We start from the raw sequence: 25,394 nt of genomic DNA, 5'->3' as shown, positions 1-25,394 counted from the left end.
CGGAGAGTGCCAGGGAATCATACATAGGTTCCAGGGCTATATGCAGAAAGTGAGTTGAATTTGCAGGGTAAAAATTATCTTAAATTTATATGTCGCCGTAAACTTAGGCAGTGTTTTCTGAAAGGGAAGAAGATACAAAAAATAACTTTGTAAAAAATCAAAAGAAAATCAAGAGTTTGAAACAAAGGGTGGGGGTAATGACAAGAATACTGAACAGTGAAGAAAATGAAAGTGGGCTAATGACAGAAAACAAGATGTTTCTTCAGGGCTGGGCTAGGTGTGTTTACTAATTTATGTTGTGGTAATTTTTTGGAACTCTGGACCCAAATCCCACATCTCAAACTTTTGTAGATGTTTTCTTCCATTAAATCGCATTTTTTTCTCTTTAAATAGTCCATTTGTGCAAAACAAAATCCTTAGTTAATTCTTTCCCTCTATCTTATTGGTGGCTTTTAGTAAGCTTCATTTACAGTCATACAGATGATTAAAGTTTAGAGTCATTTTCAGAAGTCCTTTATTGAGTGGGTACAGAAGTTAACAGGCTAGTGGAGAGTTTTAAAATGAATCACTGCCCATCATGACCTCCTATGTGGTTAGTATGGATTCTCATCTGTGAAATCTGTAGGACTGTAATTCTACTTTGGCATTCCTTACATAGAGATCTTATTTCATTCATAGGACATAGACCTCTTTATGTGGATACCAGGATGGAATCTTAATATGGATTTTAAAATTACATGTAAGATATGCCACTGAATTGGATCTAAGCATTACTTTTCTTTTAGACTTTTATTTTAGGTTCAGGGGTACACATGTAGGTTTGTTATGTAGGTAAACTCATGTCACAGAGGTTTGTTTTACAGATTATTTCATCACTCAGGTATTAAGCCCAATAGCCAACAGTTACCTTTTCTGCTCCTTTCCCTCCTCCCACCCTCCATGCTCAAGACCCCAGTGTCTATTGTTTCCTTCAGTGTGTCCATGTGTTCTCATTATTTAGCTTGCACTTGTAAGTGAGAACCTGCAGTATTTAGTTTTCTGTTCCTGTGTTAGTTTGCTAAAAATAACAGCCTCCAGCTCTATCCATATTCCTGCAAAAGACATGATCTCGTTCTTTTATATGGCAGCATAGTATTCCATGGTATATGTACCACATTTTCTTTATCCAATCTGTCATTTATGGACATTTAGGTTCCATATCTTTGCTATTGTGATATAGTAAATAGTGCTACAGTGAGCATTTGCATGCATGTGTCTTCATGACAGAATGCTTTATATTATTCTGGGTATATACCCAGTAATGGGGTTCCTGGGTTGAACGGTAGTTCTACTTTTTAGCTCTTTGAGGAATTGCCATAGTACTTTCCACAATGGTTGAACTAGTACACTCCCACTAACAGTGTATAAGTATTCCCTTTTCTCTGCAGCCTCTCCAACATTTGTAATTTTTCAACATTTTAATAATTGCCATTCTGACTGGTGTGAGATGGTAGGTTTTGATTTGCATTTCTCTAATGATCAGTGATATTGAGGTTTTTTAAATATGCTTGTTGGCTGTATGTATGTTTTCTTTTGAAAAATATCTGTTCATGTCCTTTGCCCATTTTTTAATGGGTTGTTTCTTTTTCTCTTGTAAGTTTAGGTTTCTTACAGATGCTCGATATTAGACCTTTGTCAGATGCATAGTTTGCAAATACTTTCTCCCATCCTGTAGGTTGTCTGTTTACTTTGTTGATAGTTTCTTTTGCTGTGCAGAAACTCTTAAGTTTAATTAGATCCCACTTGTCAATTTTTGCTTTTGTTGTAATAGCTTTTGGTATCTTGTCATGAAATCTGTGCCTGTTCCTATGTCCAGGATGGTATTACCTAGGTTGTCTTCCAGGGTTTTTATAGTTTTGGGTTTTACATTTAAGTCTTTAATTCGTCCTGAGTTAATTTTTGTATGTGGTATAAGGAAGGGGTCCCGCTTCAATCTTCTGCATATGGCTAGCCAGTTATCCCAGCACCATTTATTGAAGAGGGAGTCTTTTCCCATTGCTTCTTTTTGTCAGCTTTGTTGATGATCAGATGGTTGTAGGTGTGCAGCCTTATTTCTGGGCTCTCTTTTCTGTTTCATTGATCTATGTGTCTGTTTTTGTACCAGTACCATGCTGTTTTGGTTACTGTACCCCTTTAGTATAATTTGAAGTCGGGTAATGTGGTGCCTCCAGCTTTGTTCTTTTTGCTTAGGATTGCTTTGGCTAGTCAGGCTCTTTTTTTGGTTCTGTATGAATTTTAAGATAATTTTTTCTAGTTCTGTGAAGAATGTCATTGGTAGTTTGACAGGAATAGCATTGAATCTGTAAATTGCTTTGGGCAGTAAGGTCATTTTAATGATATTGATTCTTCCTATACAGGAGCATGTGATGTTTTTCCATTTGTTTGTGTCTTCTCTGATTTATTTGAGCAGTGTTTTGTAATTCTCCTTGTGGAAATCTTTCACCTCCCTGTTTAGGCATATTTCTAGGTATTTTATTCTTTTTGTGGCAATTGTGAATGAGATTGCCTTCCTGATTTGGCTCTTGGCTTGGCTGTTGTTAATGTATAGGAATATTAGTGACTTTTGTACATTGATTTTGTATCTGTAACTTTGCTAAAGTTGTTTATTAGCCGAAGGAGCTTTTGGGCTGAGACTATGGGGTTTTCTAGATATAGAGTCATGTCGTTTGCAAACACACGTAGTCTGGCTTCCTCTCTTCCTATTTGGATGCCTTTTATTTCTTTCTCTTGCCTGATTGCCAAGCAATAGTTTTCTTTACTTCTCATATACCTCACTCTCCCTTGTTTGCCAGGTGGTTCAGCACCTGTTCAAGAGGCATTAATTTGGGGGGCAGAGGATGGAGTGGGAATGAAGGGAGGAGCTTCAATTAGTATTACAAATATTAACTCATTGAAAAATATTTAAACTTTCATAAACAGGTAAAGCAATGTAAAAGTGCGTCCTCATTTTCCACCTCAGCTCCCCCAGTCTCTCTTCTACTGTAGAAATTATTTTGCTACTTGGGATTTAAATCTATCTTCTAGATATTTATTATCTGTCACTTTATATTAGATATAACTTACCATTTTTAAAATTTTGAAATAATTTGACTTTTCAAAGTTTTAAAGATAATACAGAAAATTCCCATGTATCTTTCATCCAGATTTCCCAAATGTTGATATTTTACCAACATCTGAAAAATTAGAAATTTGAAACATGCCTGTCCCAAGCATTTCAGATAAGGGATGGTCCACCTGTACATCAGTACTTCTCTGTTGGTGGGCATTCAGGTTGATTTTAATTTTTCACTTTTGGGAACAATGTCAGTCTTTATACTTAAATTGTTAGACATTTAGACAAGTATTTATTTACTGTTGATTCTCAGAAATACTATTACTGGGTTAAGTGGTTGTAATTTCCTCAATGGTGGCGTTTTGCGAAACCAAGGTACAATATGATAACCAGGACGCGAACCAGGGCATGAACACAATCCATCAGGTTTGATAGAAATCCACCAATGCATCTCTACAAATATCCCCTATATTACCCTTTATAATTATACACACTTCCTCCTTTCTCCATCAACTCGACTTAAAAAAATAACTTTAAAAGAGTATATTGGTAAATAATAGATATACATATTTTCAGGGTATATGATACATTCATATAATTTGTAAAGTTAAAATAGAGGTAATTGGGATATTCATCCCCTTAAATATTTCTTTTCTTTATGCTACAAACATTCTAATTATTCTCTTCTAGCTATTTTGAATTGTACCACAGATGATTGTTAACTATAGTTACCCTATTGATCTGTTGAACAGTAGGTCTTATTTCTTCTATTTAACTGTATATTTCATCCCATTAAATCAACCTTTCTTCATCCCCATCCTATTACCTTGCCTCTGGTAACTACCATTCTACTCTCTATCTTAATGAGATTCACTTTTTAAGCTCCTACATATGAATGAGAACATGTTATATTAGTCATTCTGTGCTTGGCTTATTTCACTTAACGTAATGACCTCCAATTTCATCCATGTTGCTACAGTGACAGGATTTCATACTTTTTTATGGCTGAGTAGTATTCTGTTGTGTATATGTACAACATTTCTTTATGCATTCATCCACTATGGGCACTTAGGTTGATTCCGTATTTTGGCTATGTTGAATAGTGCTGCAGTAAACATGGGAATACAGATATCTCTTTGATAGATTCAGTTTCTTTCCAGTAATGGAATTGCTGGATCATATAGTAGTTCTATTTTTAGTTTTTTGAGGAGCCTTCATACTATTCTCCAAAATGGCTGTACTAATTTACATTCCTACCAACAGCATCCGAGGGTTCCCCTTTCTCCACATCCTCACCAGTATCCATTATTCCCTGTCTTTGGATAAAAGCCATTTTAATTGGGGTGAGATGATATCTCATTGTGGTTTTGGTTTACATTTCTGTGATGATTAGTGATGTTGAGCATTTTTCCATATACCTTTGGCTATTTGTATGTTGTCTTTTGAGAAATGTCTATTCGGGTCTTTTGCCCATTTTAAAATAAGATTATTTGGTATTTTGCCATTGAGTTGTTTGAGCTTCTTATATATTCTGGATATTAATCTTCTGTCAGGTGGATAGTTTGCAAATATTTTCTCCTATTCTGCAGGTTGTCTCATCACTTTGTTGACTATCTTCTTTGCTTTGCAGAAACTTTTTAGCTTGATGTAATGCCATTTGTCTATTTTTGTTTTAATTACCTTTGCTTTTGAGTTCTTACACACACACAGACACATACACAGACAGACACACACACACAGACACATACACAGATAGACACACACACACAGACACATACACAGACAGACAGACAGATAGACACAGACACACCCCTTTGCCCAGATCAATTTCCTGGAGAGTTTCCCCAATGTTTTCTAGCTAGCTTTCTAGTAGTTTCATAGTTTTTGGTCTTACATTTAAGTCTTTAATTCACTTTGATTTGATGTTTGTATATGATGAGAGATAGGGGTCTAGTTTCATTCTTCTGCATATGTATATTCAATTTTCCCCGCACCGTTTGTTGAGGAAACTGTCCTTTCCCCTTTGCACATTTTTGATGGCTTTGTCAAAAATGAGTTGGCTATAAATGTGTGGATTTATATCTGGGTTGTGTCTTCTTCTGTTCCATTGTTCTGTGTCTGTTTTTGTGCCAGTACCATGCTGATTTGGTTACTATAATTTCGTAGTGTATTTTGGAGTCATGTAGTGTGATGTTCTTTGGTTTTTTTTGATCAGGATTGCTTTGGCTATTCAGTGTCTTCTGTGGTTCCATATAAATTTTAGGATTGTTCTTCTATTTCTGTGAAGAATACCACTGGTATTTTGATATTCTATTGAATGTGTAAATTGCTTTGGGTGGTATTTAATATTTAACAACATTAATTCTTCCAATTCATGAGTGAGGAATATCTCCATTATGTTTCAAATTCTCTTCAGTTTCTTTCATAAGTATTTTATAATTTTCTTTGTATAGATCTTTCACTTCTTTGGCTAAATTGACTTCTAGGTGTTTTATATTCTTTGTAGCTATTATAAATGGGATTGCTTTCTTGATTTCTTTTTTAGATTGTTTGCTGGTGGCATATAGAAATGCTACTAATTGTATGCAGCTTTTGTATTCTGCCACTTTACTGAATTAATTTATCAGTTCTAACAGTTTGCTGGTGGTGTCTTTAGTTTTTTGTAAATATAAGGTCACATCATTCTGAAACAAGGCTAATTTGACTTCTTTCTTTCTGGTTTGAATGCCCCATATTTCTTTCTCTTGGCTAATTGCTATGACCAGAACTTTCAGTATTATGAATAAAAGTGGTGACAGTGGGTGTCCCTGTCTTATTTCAGATCTTAGAGGAAAGGCTTTCAATTTCTCCTCATTCAGTATAATGTTAACTATGTGTTTATCATACATAGTTTTTATTATTTTGAGGTATATTACTTCTTTACACAGTTTATTAAGGGTTTTTATCATAAAGGGATGTGGAATTTTCTTGAATGATTTTTCATCATCAATTGAAATGATCCTAGGGTTTTCTCCTTGATTCTGTTAATGTGATGTTTCACGTTTATTTATTTGCATATGTTCAAGCATCCTTCCATCCCTGGGATGAATCTCATTTGATAAAGATGAATGATCTTTTTAATGTGTTGATGAATTCGATTTGCTTGTATTTTATTGAGGATTTTTACATCTGTGTTCGTCAGTGACATTGGCCTGTAGTTTTCCTTTTTGGTTGTATTTGTCTGGTTTTGGTATCAGGGCAATGCTGGCCTTGTGGAATGAGTTTGAAAGAATTCCTTCCTCTTCAGTTTTTTTGAAGAGTTTGAGTAGAATTGGTATTAGTTCTTCTTTAAATGTTTGGTACAATTCAGCAGTGAAGACATCAGGTCCTGGGATTTTCTTTGATGGGCACCTTCTTATTACAGGCGTGAGCCACTGCGCCCAGCACTATATTACTATCTCTTAACAGGTTGCTGTAGATATTATTGTTTTTGATAGATTTGTCTTTTGGGTTTCATACTAGCATAATGAGTAGATTGTACACCACAATTATAGTATTCTGGGTTTGTTCATGTAATTAATTTTACCAGTGGATCTTGTATCTCGAAAAGGTTTTTTTTTTTCTTTACCTTAGTATTTTGTTTTTTTCAGATTGAAAAAATACTTTTAGCATTTCTTGTAAGATGGGTCTGGTGGTGATGAATTTTGTTTGTCTAGGAAATGCTGTATCTGTCTTTTATATTTGAAGGATAGCTTTGCTGGATGCAGTGTTCTTGAATAGCAGCATTTTTTTCAGCACTTTGAAAATATTGTTTCACTGTCTACTGTCCTGTATGATTTCCATTGAAAAGTATATTGCTAGACGAATTGGAGCTCCTTTATGTGTTACTTGCTTCTTTCCTCTTGCTGCTTTTAGGATTCTCTCTTTGTCTTTGACTGTTGAGAGTTTGATTCTTATATGCATTGGGGTAGTCTTATTTGGGTTGGATCTGTTTGGTATTTTCTGAGCTTCCATACCTGGATATTGGTCTCTTTCTCAAGTTTGGGAAAATTTTCTGTTATTATTTCTTTGAGTAAGCTTTCTAACCCTTGCTCTTGCTTTATTCCCTCTTGAACACCAGTAATTCTTAGATTGGTCTTTCGAGGTAATTTTCTGTATCTTGTAGGCATCTTTGTTTCTTTCATTTTTTTTTACTTTTTGCTCCTCTGTGTATTTTCAAATAACCTATCTTTGAGCTCACAGATTATTTCCTCTACTTGATCTATTCTGTTGTGCAGAGCCTTGAATGAATTTTTTAGTTCAGTAAGTATATTTCTCAGTTCCAAGATTTGTTTGATTTTTAAGTTATTTCAATCACTTTATTAAATTTCTTTAATTACTGAATTACTTTTTTGTGTTACTTTGGAGACCACTGAGTTTCCTTAAAACTATTATTTTTAATTCTTTATCCGAGAGCTCACATATTGCTTTTTCACTAGGGTCAGTCACTGATTCCTTGCTTTGTTTGGGCAGGTCCTGCTTCTCTGTTTGCTGTTGTTTCTTGTGGATGTACATCTATGTCTTTGCACTGAAGGATTAATGACCTCTCCCAGTCTTCTCTGTCTGGTTTTTGTTTTGTTTTGTTTTCACTGGGTATGTTTGCTTGAAGATTATTCGTAATTTACCTGGTGGTTTTTTTTTTTTTAAATTTTTCTCCTAGGTTGCTGCCTTCTTTTCGGCACTAGGTGGTGCTATAACCCAGGTTGGCCTTGGCTCTAGTAAATCATCAGAGCACTGCCCTGTCCTAAATAGGGAAAGTCCTAAGGGGGATTCCCCAGCAGTGTGGGAAGGTTGGCTGGGGGTTTGTGCCCAAGGGACCTGTGGAACATACTTCCTGCAGTGTGATGCTGCTGAACGGCCACTTGATTTGTCTGAGTTACCTAGCACAGTTTCCAGGGCTGAGGACAGTAGTTTCCTACTGTCCTCAAGGACGTTTCTCCCTCCAGACACTTGTGAGGCTTCTCGTGGATTGAAGCAGGGACAGATCTCCTGCTGGGGAACCCAGGATAGTGGGGAAGCTGGTTGTTCACCTTGCTCTCACTTTTTCTGGTATAGAAACTGTGAGTCAGGAGGAAATTTTCTGCATATTAGAAGATGGGCAGATTGGGGGAAAGATCATCATGGGTATGAAAGTTCAATTCTTGGCTGGGCGCAGTGGCTCACGCCTGTAATCCCAGCACTTTGGGAGGCCGAGGCAGGCAGATCACGAGGTCAGGAGTTCGAGACCAGCCTGGCCAACATACTGAAACCCTGTCTCTAGTAAATATACAAAACTTAGCTGGGTGTGGTGGCACATGCCTGTAGTCCTAGCTATTCAGAGGCTGAGGTGGGAGAATCACTTGAACCTGGGAGGTGGAGGTTGCAGTGAGCCAAGACCGTGCCACTGCACTCCAGCTTGGGTGACAGAGTGAGACTCTGTCTCAAAAAAAAAAAAAAAAAAAAGTTTAATTCTTGTACCATCTGCTAAGAATTTTTTCATTTCACTATGCTCTGGAAACTTTCCCATCCTGATATTTGAGTTCTGTGGTATTGCTGGTATTAATTTTGGCACTGTCTATTTGTTTTTGGTTTTCTGTTGTGGGGAATGTGAAGCCAGCTTGCTTCTACTTCTGCACCACCATTTTGGAAGCAGAAGTCTCTCAATCTGACTTTCAGCATTGTTATTTGTCTTATAAAATTTTTCAATTTTTTTGAGCTTGTATCTGTCAACATTTTTCTTTGTTTTTCTTATTTTGTAATTTTCAGCTCAAAAATGCTTTCCTTAACCATGATTTAGATGTATTCTCTTATAATTTACTCTAAGAATCTTAGTTTATTTCTTTATAGTCTTTTAATCTATCTTGATTGTTTTTGAATATGGTGCAAAGTGTGTGTACATGGAGGGTGAAGGATTAATTTAATATTGTTCTAATAAATCTATATTTATGAAATAGTTCAGCCTTTTCCACTTATGTGAAATAAATCAGTACTATAAACTAAATTTTTATCATACATGGTTCTGTTTCTGGATGAACTATTCCTTTTCATTGATATATTTTTCACTTCCTGCCCCATTAGAACTTAATTGCTACAGCCTTTATAATGTATTTTAATATTTAGAAGGGCAAATACCAAGCCTTTCTTTCACTGTTCTTTTAAAAATCATTATTTGCTATTCTTGCAAATATTCTTTTTTTATCTGAATTTTAAAAATCAGCTTTTCAAGTTTTATTATAAAATGCTCTTGGGATTTTGATTGGTAGTTCCTTGAATTTATAATTAAATGGGAGAGAACTGGCACACTTATACGTTGGTTCTTATTCCAATCTTCTTTTATATAATTGAATGGAGTTTTATAACATCATAATATATCATAGTAATTAAATACAGGAGTTTGAAGGACTGTCTGGGTTCAGTTTATAGTTCTATAAGCTGTATTATTATGGTGATAGTTTGGCTGTGTCCCCACCCAGATCTCATCTTGAAATCCCATATGTTGTGGGAGGAACCTGGTGGGAGGTAATTGAATCATGGGGGCAAGTCTTTGCTGTGGTGTTCTTGTGATAGTAAGTCCAACAAGATGTGATGGTTTTAAAAAGAGGAATTCCCCTGCATAAACTCTCTCTCTCTTTACCTGCTGCCATCCATGTAAGACGTGACTTGCTCCTCCTTGCCTTCTGCCATGATTGTGAGGCTTCCCCAGCCATGTGGAACTGTAAGTCCAATTAAACCTCTTTCTTTTGTAAATTGCCCAGTCTCAGGTATGTCTTTATCAGCAGTGTGAAAATGGACTAATACATGATATGGGAAAGGAATTTAGCCTCACAGGACCTCAGTTTATTTATCTGAAAATAATGTTGATAAAAATAATAGTATTATATCCAGGGGTTGTTGAGAAGATTAAGTGATTTATGACATGAAAAGTGCTTAGGACACTACCTGACACATAATATGTACTCAGTGATTGTTAGCTGTTATTACTTCTTCATATAGTTCTAGTATATTTCTTGTTAGGTATATTTTTGGGTATTTTATGACTCTTCTTGGTATTCATATAAGATTTTTTTCCTCCGTTGCTTTTCTAATTATTCATTTGTTAAAAACCATTGATGTTTGCCTGTTGATTTTATATCTGACCACTTACTGAACTCTTTTATTCTAATAGTTTTCATTAGATTTTCTGTATAGTCTTATCATCTGCAAATAAGGACAGCTTTGTGATTTTGTGTCTTCTGTTGCTCATCCTTTTTCTTTTTTCTTAATTTAGTTGGCTAGTTAAATAGAAGTGGTAATAGTAGGTATGCTTCTTTGCTTTGTTTTTGTCTTAATGGCATTTTTTATGTTTGACTATTATATGTGATATTTATTCTAGTTACTATTCTTTTTAATCAATGGCTTTTGTGAAATTGAGAAATGTATTTTCAGTTTATAGAGTACATTTTGTTTTATTTATTTTTTTGTGTGAGGAAATGTGATTCTTATTCTTTTCTGCATAATAGCTGTATTCTACAGGTTTCAATTTTAATGCTTTTTGACATCTGTTGAAGTGATTTAGTTTTGTTTTTCTCCTTTAAAGTAGTGTTTTATTATGAGAGAGTTTATGATGTTGAGTGATCTTTGCATTCCTCAGATAAACCCAACAAGATCATGATGTATTATTCTTTTACATGACTGTGTTCATTTTGTTGATCCTTTAAATTTTTTGCTTTTATGTTTGCACATGAGACTGGCTGTAACTGTGCTTTTATTATCATTTCCTTATTTAGTATTGATTGGTATATAGATTATGGTAGCCTCATAGAATGAGTTGGGAATTTCTTCCCCCATTTCTATTATTTGGAAGAGTTTACGTAAAGTGAGTCTTTTGTCTGCCCATAGATTTTTTAGAACTTCCTTGAAAATCTGGTTGCCTTATTACTTTATTTCTTTTATTACTTTTTAATGGTGCTAAGACTGTTATTCTATTCAGATTTTGGAATTTTGGGGCTTAAATTTGTCATTTATAATTTCTTATAAAAACATTCATTTTATTTATATTTTCCAGTTTGTTGACATGGAGTTTTTATAAAATTTATGTTTTCCTCTGATAGATTTTGTTCACTTTTTCTTCTTATATCATGTATTCTCCCATCTCTCTTTCTTGGCCAAAGAAATTTATTTCAATTGACTTTAAAAATAAAACAGTTTTGGATTTTTAAAATTAAGTCTGCTGGGATTACTTTTATTTTACATTTCTTTATTTTCTTATATCTTTTTTGGATTTGTTTATTTTTCTTTTTCTACTTCCTTGAGGTATGTGTTTTATTCATTGACTTTAAATTTCATTTTCTAATCTAAACAATAAGGTTCTTATTTCTCCTCTGCGTTATATAATAGCTGTATTCTACAGGTTTCAAAATATAGAACTCTTACTGTTGTTTATTTCTAAATAGCTTATAATTTTATTTTGATTTCCTCTTATTCAAGAGTTGCTTTTTAAAAATGTTTTAAATCTACTAGTGCATATGTTTGCTTTTTGGAGAGAGGAGTCAGATATCTTTTTATTGTTGCTCTAATTGTATGGTGGTCAGAGAATCTAGCCTGTATTATATCTGCTCTTTGAAATCTGTTCAGATTTTCTTATGGGCTTATGTCTTAAACATTTTTTTAAAAGTGAATCTCTGATAAGGACAGAGCTCTATCCATTTCATTTGCATACATATTTTAATTAAGTATTCAAATCTTCCATGTCTTTTTTTCTTCTTCATTGCTCGGTTTCTGAGAGCAGTATGTTAGAATCTTCTACAATATTTATTGCTATGTACATACATTTTGTATTTCTACTAGTTTTTGTTATCTATTTGTCTGAGTCATTAGATTGTGACTTATGTGTAATCTTAAGTGAAGCTCTTATTAATACATAATGCCCGTCTGTGTCTGTTATTTCCCCCACTTCGTTTCTTTTTTGTCTAATATTAATCTCTCTAGACTTGCTTTTTCTTGGTTAACATTTTCCTACTGTGTATTTTGCCACCACTTTCTTTCCAGCAGTGATATTTTGATTTTGATTTGTCTGTTACAAACAGCATATAACTAGATTTTTTTTTTGCTTATTCTAACTGCTTCTGTCTTTTAGCTAATTCACACTTACTGTGACATCTGCTATGGCTGGACTTGCTCTGCCTGCTTATACGTTGTATTTGCCTTGCTTCTTTTGTTGTTATTTGAGCTTTCTTATTTTTTAATTTATTTTATTCTGCTTTATTTTTTCTCTCCCCACTTTTTGATAATAATTGAGTTGTGGTTTTTTTCCCAAAAGGAAAAGTTTATTTTTTTTCTATTCTAATGATTTGCAAATTAGTTGCTCCATTATATACTTTCAGTGGATTAGTTTTACATTTTTAATAAACATGTCTAAACTTATGATTTTATTTTCAAACTGTAGAGTTAATTAGTATGTATTTCATTTCACAAATAAGATATGGTCTTAGTATGTATTTATCTTTCTTCCTTTCCAGTTCCACCTTTTAAAATTATTTTTTGTAGGATTTTAATTACACATTTTTATTACATCAGACATGAACAATTATTTAGACTAAATTAGAAGATTTGTTTTTTGTGTGTTTGTTTACTACTATATCTTCCATCCTGTATCTTCTTTCTTGGATTTATTAGTCAATTTGCTTTATTATATCCCGAAATGATTCTTTCAGAGTCTGTTGGAAGCTTTGTATCTCTACAAGTGTCTTTATTTTTCCCTTCCACTTCAATATTTGTTTAAATGGTTATAGAAATATTGGTTCAAAAATAGTTTCCCTTAGAACTATTTGCTTCTTTGACTTCTTGAATACATGTTGTTGATCAGAAGTCTGATAGAAATGTGATTACCAAATTATTGTAAATTACTTATTTTTTTCCTCTGGAGAACTTTCAGGATTTTCTCTTAACTTTTTTTTTTTTTTTAATACTTTAAGTTCTGGGATACATGTGCAGAACTTGCAGGTTTGTTACATAGGTATACACATGCCATGGTGGTTTGCTGCACCCATCAACCTGTCATCTACATTAGGTATTTCTCCTAATGCTATCCCTCCCCTAGTCCCCGATCCCCCGCCAGGCCCTGGTGTGTGATGTTCCCCTCCCTGTGTCCATGCGTTCTCATTGTCCAGCTCCCACTTATGAGTGAGAACATGTGGTATTTGGTTTTCTGTTTCTGTGTTAGTTTGCTGAGGATGATGGTTTCCAGCTTCATCCATGTCCCTGCAAAGGACATGAACTCATCCTTTCTTATGGCTGCATAGTATTCCATGGTGTATATGTGCCACATTTTCTTTATCCAGTCTGTCATTGATAAGCATCTGGGTTTGTTCCAAGTCTTTGCTATTGTGAATAGTGCTGCAATAAACATACGTGTGCACGTGTCTTTATAGTAGTATAATTTATAATTATTTGGGTGTATACCCAGTAATGGGATTGCTGGGTCAAATGGTATTTCTGGTTCTAGATTCTTGAGGAATTGCCACACTGTCTTCCACAATGGTTGAACTAATTTACAGTCTCACCAACAGTGTAAAAGTGTTCCTATTTCTCCCCATCCTCTCCAGTATCTGTTTCCTGACTTTTTAATGATTGCCATTCTACCTGGCGTGAGATGGTATCTCTTTGTGGTTTTGATTTGCATTTCTCTAATGACCAGTGATGATGAGCTTTTTTTCATACGTTTGTTGGCCACATAAATGTCTTCTTTTGAGAAGTGTCTGTTCATATCTTTTGCCCACTTTTTGATGGGGTTGTTTTTTTCTAGTAAATTTGTTTCAGTTCCTTGTAGATTCTGGATAGTAGCCCTTTGTCAGATAGATAGATTGCAAAAATTTCCCCCCATTCTGTAGGTTGCCTGTTCACTCTGATGATAGTTTCTTTTGCTGTGCAGAAACTCTTTAGTTTAATTAGATCCCATTTGTCAATTTTGGCTTTTGTCGCCATTGCTTTTGGTGTTTTCATTCCATGCTCATGGATAGGAAGAATCAATATCATGAAAATGGCCATACTGCCCAATGTAATTTATAGATTCAATGCTATCCCCATCAAGCTACCATTGACTTTCTTCACAGAATAAAAAAAAAACTATTTTAAATTCCATATGGAACCAAAAAAAGAGCCCATATAGCCAAGACAATCCTAGGCAAAAAGAACAATGGAGGCATCATGCTACCTGACTTCAAACTATACTACAAGGCTACAGTAACCAAAACAGCATGGTACTGGTACCAAAACAGATATATAGACCAGTGGAACAGAACAGAGGCCTCAGGAATAATGTCACACATCTACAACCATCTGATCTTTGACAAACCTGACAAAAACAGGCAATGTGGAAAGGATTCCCTATTTAATAAATGATGTTGGGAAAATTGGCTAGCCATATGCGGAAAACTGAAACTGGACCCCTTTCTTACACCTTATATAAAAATTAAGATGGATTAAAGACTTAAACATAAGACCTAAAGCCATAAAAACTCTAGAGGAAAACCTAGGCAATACCATTCAGGACGTAGGCATGGGCAAATATTTTCTCTTAACTTTTAATAATTCCCATTGTGTGTCTGTCAGTGGGTCATATAGTTTTCTTATTCTTCACACTATTAATAGTCTTCCTTGAATTTCAGCAGGAGAATAATATGTATTCTTAGTCTACTAGCCTGATTCTGTAAATGTCTTCATTTTTCCAAAAGGATATTCTTTTACATAATGGCATGATCTATCAGCAGAGACATTAGGTGTAATTGAATGGCTGGGAGATATTGATTGTCTACTGCCATATGACTTATTTTGTACAGTGACGTATGTATAGAACTAGAAAACATGGACATCAGATCTTTGAATTCAGTTCTGTAGGAGCAAATTGAAGAGACCAGAACTCTAGGTTGATATGCCATCGAGTGACTTGAGTTCTGTTGGGAGAGCTTTAATTCTAGTGGCAAGTTATCTTCAGTCTCCAAAATTCTCTGTTCCCATCTATAAAATAAGGCTATAACATCATCTACTTCATATGGAAGCTGTTTAAATAGAACAGGCACAGTACCAGGCAAATGGAAAATCTCTGTACATTTTAGTAATCCCCACAATTCCCCTCATTCTACTTTTTCCTACAACACCTCTTTCTAGCTTACTATCATGCTGTGGAAAGTAAGTCAGTGTCTGGTACATAGCAAATAAAAAATGAATTACATTCAAGTAAATTGATTTGAATGTCAATGTCTAGATAATTTTCTAAGGACATGACAAATGCTTTCACTGTAAGGTGTTTAGACTCTCGATGTCAGTTCCATTGTCCTTCATCCTTAAAGATCATTGGAGATCTTCATTAGGGTGAGAGAGGGAATTTAAAAGATTTTGTAAAGTACTTCTGTTACCTTTGAAATCTCTTTCAAGTTCCAAACTGTGAAGGCCAGATCACCCCTTATATCATCTTTCTTGATTCCTTTTTTGGAGGTGAGGACCATGTGTCCATTTCACCTTGTCTCTTTTTCATATTATTTTTGTGTGCTCATGTTGCTTTCAGTGACTTAACTATCTTCAAAACATTACAAATATTAATCACTCAACTTTGTAAGAAACTAGAAAAAAGCACAGCCCCTAGTAAAAAAGGCATGCCATGCAATTGGCTGTCATCAAAGGGGCTTGCCACATCCCTGAAATCCGCCATGGCTCGGGATCGATCTCAGGCAGCTAGAAAAACCCATCCAAAAAACAGCTCTGAGAGTGATGATATAATACAGAGTAATGCAGTTGAAATTTTGTGCTAAGTAATGTTTTAAAATTAGGTGCCACGTTGCCAGCATGTTTCTAAATTGACAGTCATTGGGCAGCATTCCATGTCTCTACTTTTTATGTCTTAACTGAGCTGCCCAGGAACACATCAAAAGTTATAGCTTCAAATTGTTCTAATGTGCTGCTTGCCATACTGTGGTTGTCACAAAAGAAACACTTTCATTACTTTGTGTAGCTTATAACTTTTTTAAAAAAATTACCTCTTCGAGTTGACATTTCTCATAGGTTTAATCTACCCTAATATTAAATTTGGTTACCCCCTTCAAAGTTCAGAATTTAAACTAGTTAAAAATCTTTATGCACTTGTTTATATTCAAGATAATACAAACCCTGTTAATTTCAACTTCAAAAAGTCTTCAGAGATTTTGTAAGGACTTGAGTAATTTAGAAAACAATTTTGGTTATGTAATATTTTCACGAATAAAAATATGGCACTTCTGAGATATTGCAAAAGGGACCTAATGTAGTCTGCAGTTTAGAGTCATTTTCTCAATCCAGGAAAAGTAGCCCAGTTGTTGGGCTAGATGGGGGTCTGTTGTCTGTGTGCCCAGTGTGAATAATGGAGGAGTTGTATTTCTCAGCTCGTGTCTAGGTCCAAACACCTGTGAGAGACTGTTCTCCTCCCCTCTTTGTGGCAACCTGCCTTACATACTACCCTGTCCACTAGGTCAGGTAGGCAGTGGTGTCCAATCAAAGTGGCAGAATCAAAGGAATCACCTGGGTAGCTTTAAAAACCTCACGTTTCCAGACTCCAGCCACAGAGAATCTGAATCAGCAGATAAGGAGCTATGGCCTTAGCCACAGAACATTAGTTTCTGGCTCCTTCACTGCCCTTAACACAGTTTGATGACTGCAACACATTGATCCACCCATGATGCATGGCACATGGAGCAGCATTTAAAACAGCAGCAGAATACTGTGGACAGATTGGGAGAAGCAAGAGGCCACACAGAAAGCACAGCCACAGGTAGGGGCTAAATTAGAGACTGTTAAGAATACCCAGTGCTGAGCAGGGGACAAAAGCATTGATTCTACTCCATGCCCTCCTATTATATCCACAGACTATGAAGCCAGTTTCTGCCTTGAAATACTCTCCTCTTTCCCCACATCTGTCCTGTGACTGTGTGTGTGTGTGTGTGTATGTGTGTGTGTGTGTGTGTGTGTGTGTGTGTTGAGGGAGATTGTTCTGTCTCTTCCTTTCTTCAGTTTCTTATCGTAGCCAGTTACATAGAAAATGAGAGAGAAAGATAGAGATATGGACACTTCTGACAAAGTGTAAGGAGACAGGAAACAAAGGTATTTAGAAGGAAACAGGAAGAAATACTCTTGAAGAATACATGGAAACAGTTCCTGGTGAGTGTGGAGTAATAGTATTTTTTCCTTTCATCTTCTGAAGATATCCTGACGATTTAGCATGTTTTTATCTCCCTTTCCTAAGTGGACGGCTTTATTTGTAAAGAGTGGTAGCATTGCCATTGAAGATAATCCGTCATACATAAGGAACCTCTGTTGTTTATTCCAAATTAAGCCAGGGAAGTCCTGAATGATTGTCATTTATTCAACATATTTTTATTGATGAGAGCGCTAGCTTCATGGATCTCACAGCCAGTTGGGGATGCAGATGCATAGACAGAGGATGACAGCACTGAGTGGCAGGTGCCTTGACGGCGGGAAGTACAGAAGGAGGGGAGCACAAAGGAGAGCACTTCATCTCTCTCGGGGCTGAGGGAAGGCTTCGAAAGGAAGTGCAGTTTCAAGTTGTATACCGCAGGGTGAAAAGGGGTGCGCCAAGCAAGAGTGGCTGAAGAACTGAATATGCCAGCCTTGGGGATAAGAAAGCCTGATTGCATGGCTGGAGAACTGAGAATGGTCCTAAATGGCCAGGCTGAAGACAAGAGATGAGACTGGAGAATTAAGCGGGGGTCAGACCATGAAGGATCTTATGCATCACATTAAAAAGTTTGACGTTTATAATGACGTGGCCCATTTCACTTACAGGTTTTATATTTAGCCCTCTTTGCCTTCTTTTTATTAAAAGCATCACAAATAAGAGGTAGTACCCTTCTTTTTGTCACAAATAAACAGGAACTTCTAAAAGTAGGCATGTGAGAGAAAAGGGTTAACATAGCAGGTGTCTATTCTTAGAAAGGCTTGCTTGCAAAATTGGTCTGTGGCCAGCTTTTGGGAACTTGCCTGGTAAACAGTTTCCTACAATGACATAAAACCTTTCCTAGCTGATAACAGTGGCTTGCTGTGTCTAGATATGCAAACCATATGGCTTATATGCAAACCTCCTCTCCTTCTGGGACTCTGGAACTTCGCTACATGCTGGGCTGAAGGTGCCTGTGTGGCTAGCTTCCCAATAAAAACCTTGGATGCTAAGTCTCTAATAAGCTATCCTAGATGGAAACATCACACACATGTTGCTGCATTTTTATAGCTTTGAGAAAATTATGCTGTATGTGAACTTTCATGAGAAGGAGAGAATGTAGGAAAGCTAGCAGACAGATTCCTCCAGACTCCACCTATTTTTTTTCCCTTGTCAGCCACTGTGTGTCCTCACTGCAGCACTGTGATGTCGAAGGCATGAGTACAATTGTGTGCTAAGGCCCATGAGTCCTTCCAGTGAATCTCCTAACATAGGGGAGACCTTGAAGATCCCCAACATGCATGCTATGAATATTTACCTATAACTAGTTACTGAATGAGTGAATAAATTGAGCTATTAAAAGGTAGAAGTATTAGTGTTCATGTATATATATACACACATATATGTGTGTGTGTATATATATGTTTAGCTGGTTTTATCTCTCACCATATTTCTCAAATTCTCAAAGTTGGCTCTGAATTACTTTTGACTTTTTTACCTTCAAATGATAAAGACGTATCAGTTTTGAAGAGAGTCAGAAGAAAGAGCTACAAGAGCAATTTAACATCAGGAGATCCAGAAAGGATTTAAACAATGGCAAGCATCCCAAGGTAACTTCTTTCCGTTTCTTTTATCAGGTGAGGACATACTTAATTGTGCAGTTCTGGGTATACTAAAAGCAGCCACATTATTGTATTTGTAGTGCAACACTCGAATACAGACAGCCTATCTTGTTACATTAAAAAATACACTAGTATTAATATTTAGGGAATAAGAGTGATGGACTAGATACTAATATGTAATTTATACTGGGAAAATTCTGCTCAAGACTTATTTAAGAGAATTTCCTTTGGAACAATTAAGATGAATTCCTGACTTTTTAATGAGCTTCAGATCCTGCCTGAAGGAACTTAAAACCAACCAGGCAATTCTTGAATTTCTTATGGCTTCATCTTCATTTTCGAAAATTCCTTGGAGCTCTGCCTGTCTTACTGAGTTACTGGCAATAATGTTAACCTGTTGAGTAGTTCCCCTTTAGACGGGCTTCACATTTTTTTTTTTCCCATCATCTTTGTCTTATTCTGGACTGAGATACAAGTGTAAAAATGATGGGTTTACTGCTTTCTGCTTTCCATTTGACCTTGTGGAGTAGCCTTTTCTGTGACCGAGTAGTAAAGAGCATCGCTTCTTCAGCATGGCTGGGCTTGTTGTGGATCTTTATTTCCTATCTTATTGGAGAGGATTTACAGTTCATAAACGGACTTTAATATAGAAGTTCCCTGGAGTTATAAGTATACAATGACATGGCGATTTCCCAAAATGCAGCTTTACAAGGGTAGTTTTCTTCATAGGCTATTTATGTTGGTTTTGCTTCCGTTTTATTGCCTTCCGATTCTTTATTTTTCTCTTTTCTCCTTTTTCATTATCGTGTGGTCAGATGCTTCCCCTCAGCTGGCCATAAATACTTATTTTAATACTTATTGCACTTATGGAATGAAGTTTTATGTTTCTTGTTCATAATTTTGAAAGCAAATGAAACATTTTTACTGTATTTCTCTGTTTATAAGGACTTAATGGGAATGCTTTTTATTCATGTGAGCCTAGATTCTTTTTGTTATGTTTGAACGAGGGATTGTTTTGTTGATTTGACTTGACTTTGTTCTCCTAGGTCAACAGCTTTAATGGAAAGTATATTTTAGATTGCTGTTATAAGTCTACTTAGAATAAGTTGGTTGCCAACAAAAGTTCAGTTGTAACCAAAGTGTAGGTTATTTGTGTTGGGCCTTGTGTTTAGAGGCCTCCTTAATGAAGTGAGTGTTGTGATATTTGCTGGTGTTTGTGGTGTCATTAGTTTTAGAAGAAAAGTTCTTGAAGCTTCTTGTAGTAACAATAATAACCTGATAGTCTGATGTTATTTCTTCTCAAAGAGATGTAGTTGTTGTGTCCTCTGTATTGTGACATTTTGTATTTTCTATTTCAGTTTCCCAGCGAGGTGGTCATTCAGAGCCTACACATCTGTTCTGTATTTTAACCCATGGATGAGAATATTCATTCAAGCCAAGAGAGTTAAAACTAAACATCTTTGCTATTGCCTCTACAGACCCAGGTAACTCATCTTTCTTCAGTTATCTTCACAGAGTTTTTATTTATAAAATTGATATGCTCCCCAAAGTTGTCAAAGTGAGGACATTGACTTTGATAGTAAGATTTTTACATTGTAAACAAAATTTAAACCACATCCAGGAAGGGATGCTAAAGAGTAATTGGATGTGAACAAATATTTGGCAGTAATAGAAACATACTGCAGTGAGCATGCTAAGTTAGATCATCACCCCGAGTAGAAATTTGTTTTTTACTTCAGTGAATTTTAGGTACTATGACAGTGATTAGTTCCACTAAATGATCACAGTTCACGTATATCTTCTGTTTACACAATACATTTGAACTATTAAACCATATATATACATATTTATATTATACATATAGAATGAATATATTTATAAATATGTATCTGGTTGATTTATATTTTGTGTGTTTTTTTACTTTAACATAAATGTTTTCAAGGTTTTGTTGTTGTTGTTTTGAGACAGAGTCTCTCTTGTCACCCAGGCTGGAGTGCAGTGGCACAATCTTGGTTCAGTGCAACCTCTGCCTCCCTGGTTCATGTGATTCTCCTGTCTCAGCCTCCCCAGTAGCTGGGATTACAGGCGTGCACCACCACGCCTGGCCAATTTTTGTATTTTTAGCAGAGATGAGGTTTCACCATGTTGACCAGGCTGGTCTCAAACTCCTGACCTCAACTGATCCACCTGCCTTGGCCTCCCAAAGTGCTGGGATTGCAGGCGTGAGCCACTGCACTTGGCCACCCACCAGGCCCGGCCTTTAAGTTTATATTTACATATTATAATATCCATTTTTTCCAACCATGCATGCCATCAGAATGGTCATTTTCTTGATGTGGTTTCTGGGTAGTCTTTCATTTACACACCAAACATTTATCAGATTTTTCTGTGAGTTTGAGATTAGAGGAAAAGAAGTTATTTGAAGAAGATACTTGCACATGCATGTTTATAGCACCACAATTCACAATGGCAAAATCATGGAGCCAACCCAAATGCCCATCAGTCAACAGGTGGATAAAGACACTGTGGTATATATATATACACACAATGGAATGCTACTCAGCAGTAAAAAGGAATGAATTAACAGCATTTGCAATGACCTAGATGAGATTGGAGACTATTATTCTAAGTGAAGTAACTCAGGAATGGAAAATCAAATATCTTATGTTCTCACTGATATGTGGGAGCTAAGCTATGAGAATGCAAAGGCATAAGAATGATACAATGGACTTTGGGGACTTGAGGGGGAAGAGTGGGAGAGGGGCAAGGGATAAAAGACAACATATTGTGCAGTGTATACTGTTTGAGTGATAGATGCACCAGGATCTCACAGATTACCACTAAAGAACTTCCTCATGTAACCAAACACCACCTGTACCCCAATAACTTATGGAAAAATAGAAAAAAGATAAGATTAATTCTTGTTTTGAGGACCTTGATATCTATTGGGAGAAACATTTAATTTGTGTACACTACTTATATATGTGCCTTTTTGCCTGAACTATTTCATTTGATTTCTGCAGTAACACTGTGTGTTAGGTTATCATCACCATTTTAGAGATAAGGAAATGTTAAAACTAGAAAAGAACTCAAACCTTCTGGCTCTAAATTCTTTACCAATCCAAATTCAATGTTTCTTCTCCTATACCACATTAACTCTTTATTATATGTCTGCATTTGTCATCTTGTCTTATTTTCATGAAACTGCAGTTACTGTCCTGAGTAGGGCCTTGCTATCACTCATAAAGATATTAATACTAAAAATTATAGATCTCTGCATCATACTCCCTGACCACGCACCAATGGATTTCGCAAAAGCTTTACTTTTGATCTCTAATTATACTGCCCATCATCTTTTGAAAATAAAATATACCAATCCTGAGACTTTCCCTATAAATCAGTCCATTCATTTCCTAATAAATATCAAAGCAATGTTTCCTTTTCATCAGTCTCATTCTTCTGGGAAGCGCCAAGTGTCTCCTGGATCAATCAATATAGCCGATCTTTTCACATTAAATTTCTCTCGTGAGTTTGGGTAAAAAATAGTTTAAGTCCATGGAAAATGTGGATTTGTCTCTATTTTCTGAGGGAGTTTTAGTAAATTGAGTGTAATCTACCTAAATTACTTATATCCAGTGATGGCTGCTTCCCATTCGAGTATATTGCAATGGAAGGGACTCCCACCCAAGATGTGTACAAATTTGTCTCTGGAGGAGTCTAGATCATAGAATAAATTATTACTTTGGAAAAAATTTCTAGGTGATTTCTCAGGTCTCTTAAACATTTTATAAGTCTATAATTCTTGGAGTCTTAAAATATTGTTTATATAATAAAGACAAGTTATTATATGGTTGTGTTACTTGATTTTAGGCAACAAACATTCTTCATTAACATTGCTTAACCATAGACCCATAATGCTGAAAGGAGCCCAAATGAGTTGGGATGGGTGTTACTGTGCATTCATAGGAACCGCATGGTCCTTTTTAAGTTATTCTGGGACATTAACGCTATGTTCTCTTGTTGAATACTCTGCAACACTATGCTTCTGAAACAGAATTCATTATTTAGGGATGCTTTCCATATGCTAACACCCCACCCACCTATCAGACTAGTAATTTTTGAACAGTGATTCTTTTGTACACCATGCATCCATTTTTGAATTTTTACAATGCTGAATTATTTAATCTTTTATTACAGTATGATAATTGGAAGCGAAATGTGGATTAGCCAAATCTGGATTTGAATTTAGGTTTTGTCATTTACTAGTTGTGGACCTTTGGCAATTACTTGAGTCTTACTCTTCTCCACTGTGAATTGGGAATTCCTCTGCCACTGAGGTTATTATGAGGGCTAAAATAAAACAGTGTTTTATGTTAAACATAAAAACAGCAAGGTTTCTGAAAAGTTTGTTAACCAATAGTAGTTGTTATTATACAAATGCGTAAGAGCAAGTGGATGGAATGACCACTATGTGCAAGGCTGTCTTGTAGGCATTGGACATTTGGCAAAAGCAAAAAGAGAAAATTCCTGGGCTGGGTGCAGTGGCTCACGCCTGTATCCCAGCACTCTGGGAGGCCGAGGCAGGCAGATCACCTGAGGTCAGGAGTTTGAGACCAGCCTGGCCAAGAAGGTGAAACCCCATCTCTACTAAAAATACAAAAACATAGCCAGGCGTGGTGGCATGCACCTGTAATCCCAGCTATTCCAGAGGCTGAGGCAGGAGACTCACTTGAACCCAGGAGGTGGAGGTTGCAGTGAACTGAGATCATGCCACTGCACTCCAGCCTGGGCGACTGAGTGAAACTCTGTCTCAGAAAAAAAAAAAAAGAAAAAAAGAGAAAATTCCTGCTCTCATGGAGCTTACATTCTAGTGGGGGAGGAAAAACAACATGTAAATTAAAATTGATGATAAAATATCAGGTAATTCTTTTTTTTAAATTTCAACTTTTAGATACAGGAGGTACATGTGCAGGTTTTTTACATGGGTATATTGTGTGATGCTGACGTTTGGGGTATGGATCCTGTCACCCAGCTAATGAGCATGGTACCCAATAGGGATCATTTCTACCCATGCCCCCATCCCTGCCTCCCTCTCCCCCGTCTTGTATTCCCCAGTGTCTGTTGTTCTCATGTTTATGTCCATGTGTGCTCAGTGTGTAGCTCCCACTTATAAATGGGACTATGAGGTACTTGTTTTTCTGTTTCTGTGTTAATTTACTTAAGATGATGGTCTCCACTGCATTATGTCACTGCAAAGAACATTATTTTATTCTTTTTTATGGCTGTGTAGTCTTCTATAGTGTATATGTACCACTTTTTAAAAAATCCAATCCACCATTGATGGGCACCTAGACCAATTCCATGTCTTTGCGATTGTGAATAATGTGTCAATAAACATATGAGTGTGTGTGTCTTTTGGGGCAAGTTAGTTCCTCTTAACAAAGGCCATTGCATAGGTCCACCTGAGTATTTTCATGACATAATGGCTGACTTCTATCAGAGTGAGCAATTCAAGAGAAGAAAGTAGAACTTGCAACTTTTTAGAACCCATCTTTAAAAGTGACAGACCATCACTTTTGCCATGCCACAGCTCAGCCTAGATTTGACCAGTGTTGGGGTGTGGGGGCACCACACATAGGCATTAATACCAGGAGGAAAAAAAACACAGGAGATATCTTGGATGGTGGGTAGCACAGTGAGTTATGCAATAATTTTGTGGGAAGATGGTTCTAGAAGGAGGGGACAGTAAGTGCAAAGACAGGAATCAAAGGCTAGTCTAGCTAGAACACAGAAAACAGATCGAAGTAGATTGGGCAGATCAGGTAAGGCCTGAAGGAACATGACAAGAAGAAGTGGCTGTATTGAGAATGGAATGACTTGAGCAGAGGAGTGGCATTACTTGACCTATGTTTTTAAAAGATTATTCTAGCTGTTGAGTGGAGAATTGATTTCATGGGACAAGAAGAAAGGAGGGAAGTTGAGGTAGGATAGATACTATTACTGTATTCTAGGAGAGAAATGAGCTTGAACTCAGGTGGTAATAGTGGAAGGGATGAAAAGTGTCTGGATTACAGATATGTTGTGAAGGTAAAGCCAGCAAGACTTGCCAGTGGATTGGATATGGGGTGGAGAGAAAATGAGGAGTCCAGAAGGCCTTCTGAGTTTTTATCCTGAACAAAATCTTCAGAATGATAGAGGAGGTGCAAGTGTAGAGGTTAGGAGGAATGGTGGCTGGAGTTCTCTTCATATCATAGTAGGCACACTAAATTTGGGAGGTCTATTCAACGTCCACATCTCTACCTATCAATATTATACGAACCAGAAAATTATTGATCCTGCCTAATTACATGTTGTAAAGAATAATTAAGGATTAGAATTATTTTTACAATATAACTAAACCAGGTAAACTCTTATAACTTAAATAATAATGATTGAATACTCCAATGCAGTTATGATTTACAACTGGGGGCTAATTTTTTCTGTGTTAATAAAAGTTCAGAACTGT

At 36.1% G+C, this 25,394-nt stretch overlaps 1 protein-coding gene across 11 annotated transcripts in view, besides 1 other annotated feature; it reads left to right on the top strand.

The window, feature by feature from the left end:
* MORC1 (MORC family CW-type zinc finger 1) overlaps positions 1 to 25,394 on the top strand; it is a 159,887-nt gene that overhangs the window by 28,130 nt on the left and 106,363 nt on the right. For 8 of the 11 annotated variants that reach the window (NM_014429.4, XM_005247362.3, XM_047447968.1 and 5 more), the window contains one exon: positions 20,248 to 20,373. In NM_014429.4, the coding sequence (NP_055244.3) occupies positions 20,248 to 20,373 (126 nt within the window). Of the gene's footprint in view, positions 1 to 18,537; positions 18,905 to 20,247; positions 20,374 to 25,394 lie in introns of those variants that run through there. The other 3 variants (XM_011512696.2, XM_047447970.1, XM_011512697.3) reach the window with 3 other exon arrangements.
* Positions 7,986 to 8,155: an enhancer, noted in NCBI's record as "active region_20223". NCBI's record gives its function as "activates an Ori minimal core promoter by ATAC-STARR-seq in GM12878 lymphoblastoid cells {active_cell/tissue: GM12878}" and the evidence as "EXISTENCE:reporter gene assay evidence [ECO:0000049][PMID:35858748]".

This window comes from Homo sapiens, chromosome 3, assembly GCF_000001405.40.
Source record: "Homo sapiens chromosome 3, GRCh38.p14 Primary Assembly".
NCBI lineage: Eukaryota > Metazoa > Chordata > Mammalia > Primates > Hominidae > Homo > Homo sapiens.
The sequence above is the reverse complement of the archived record's forward strand: the minus strand, read 5'-3'. Positions and strand labels throughout refer to the sequence as shown.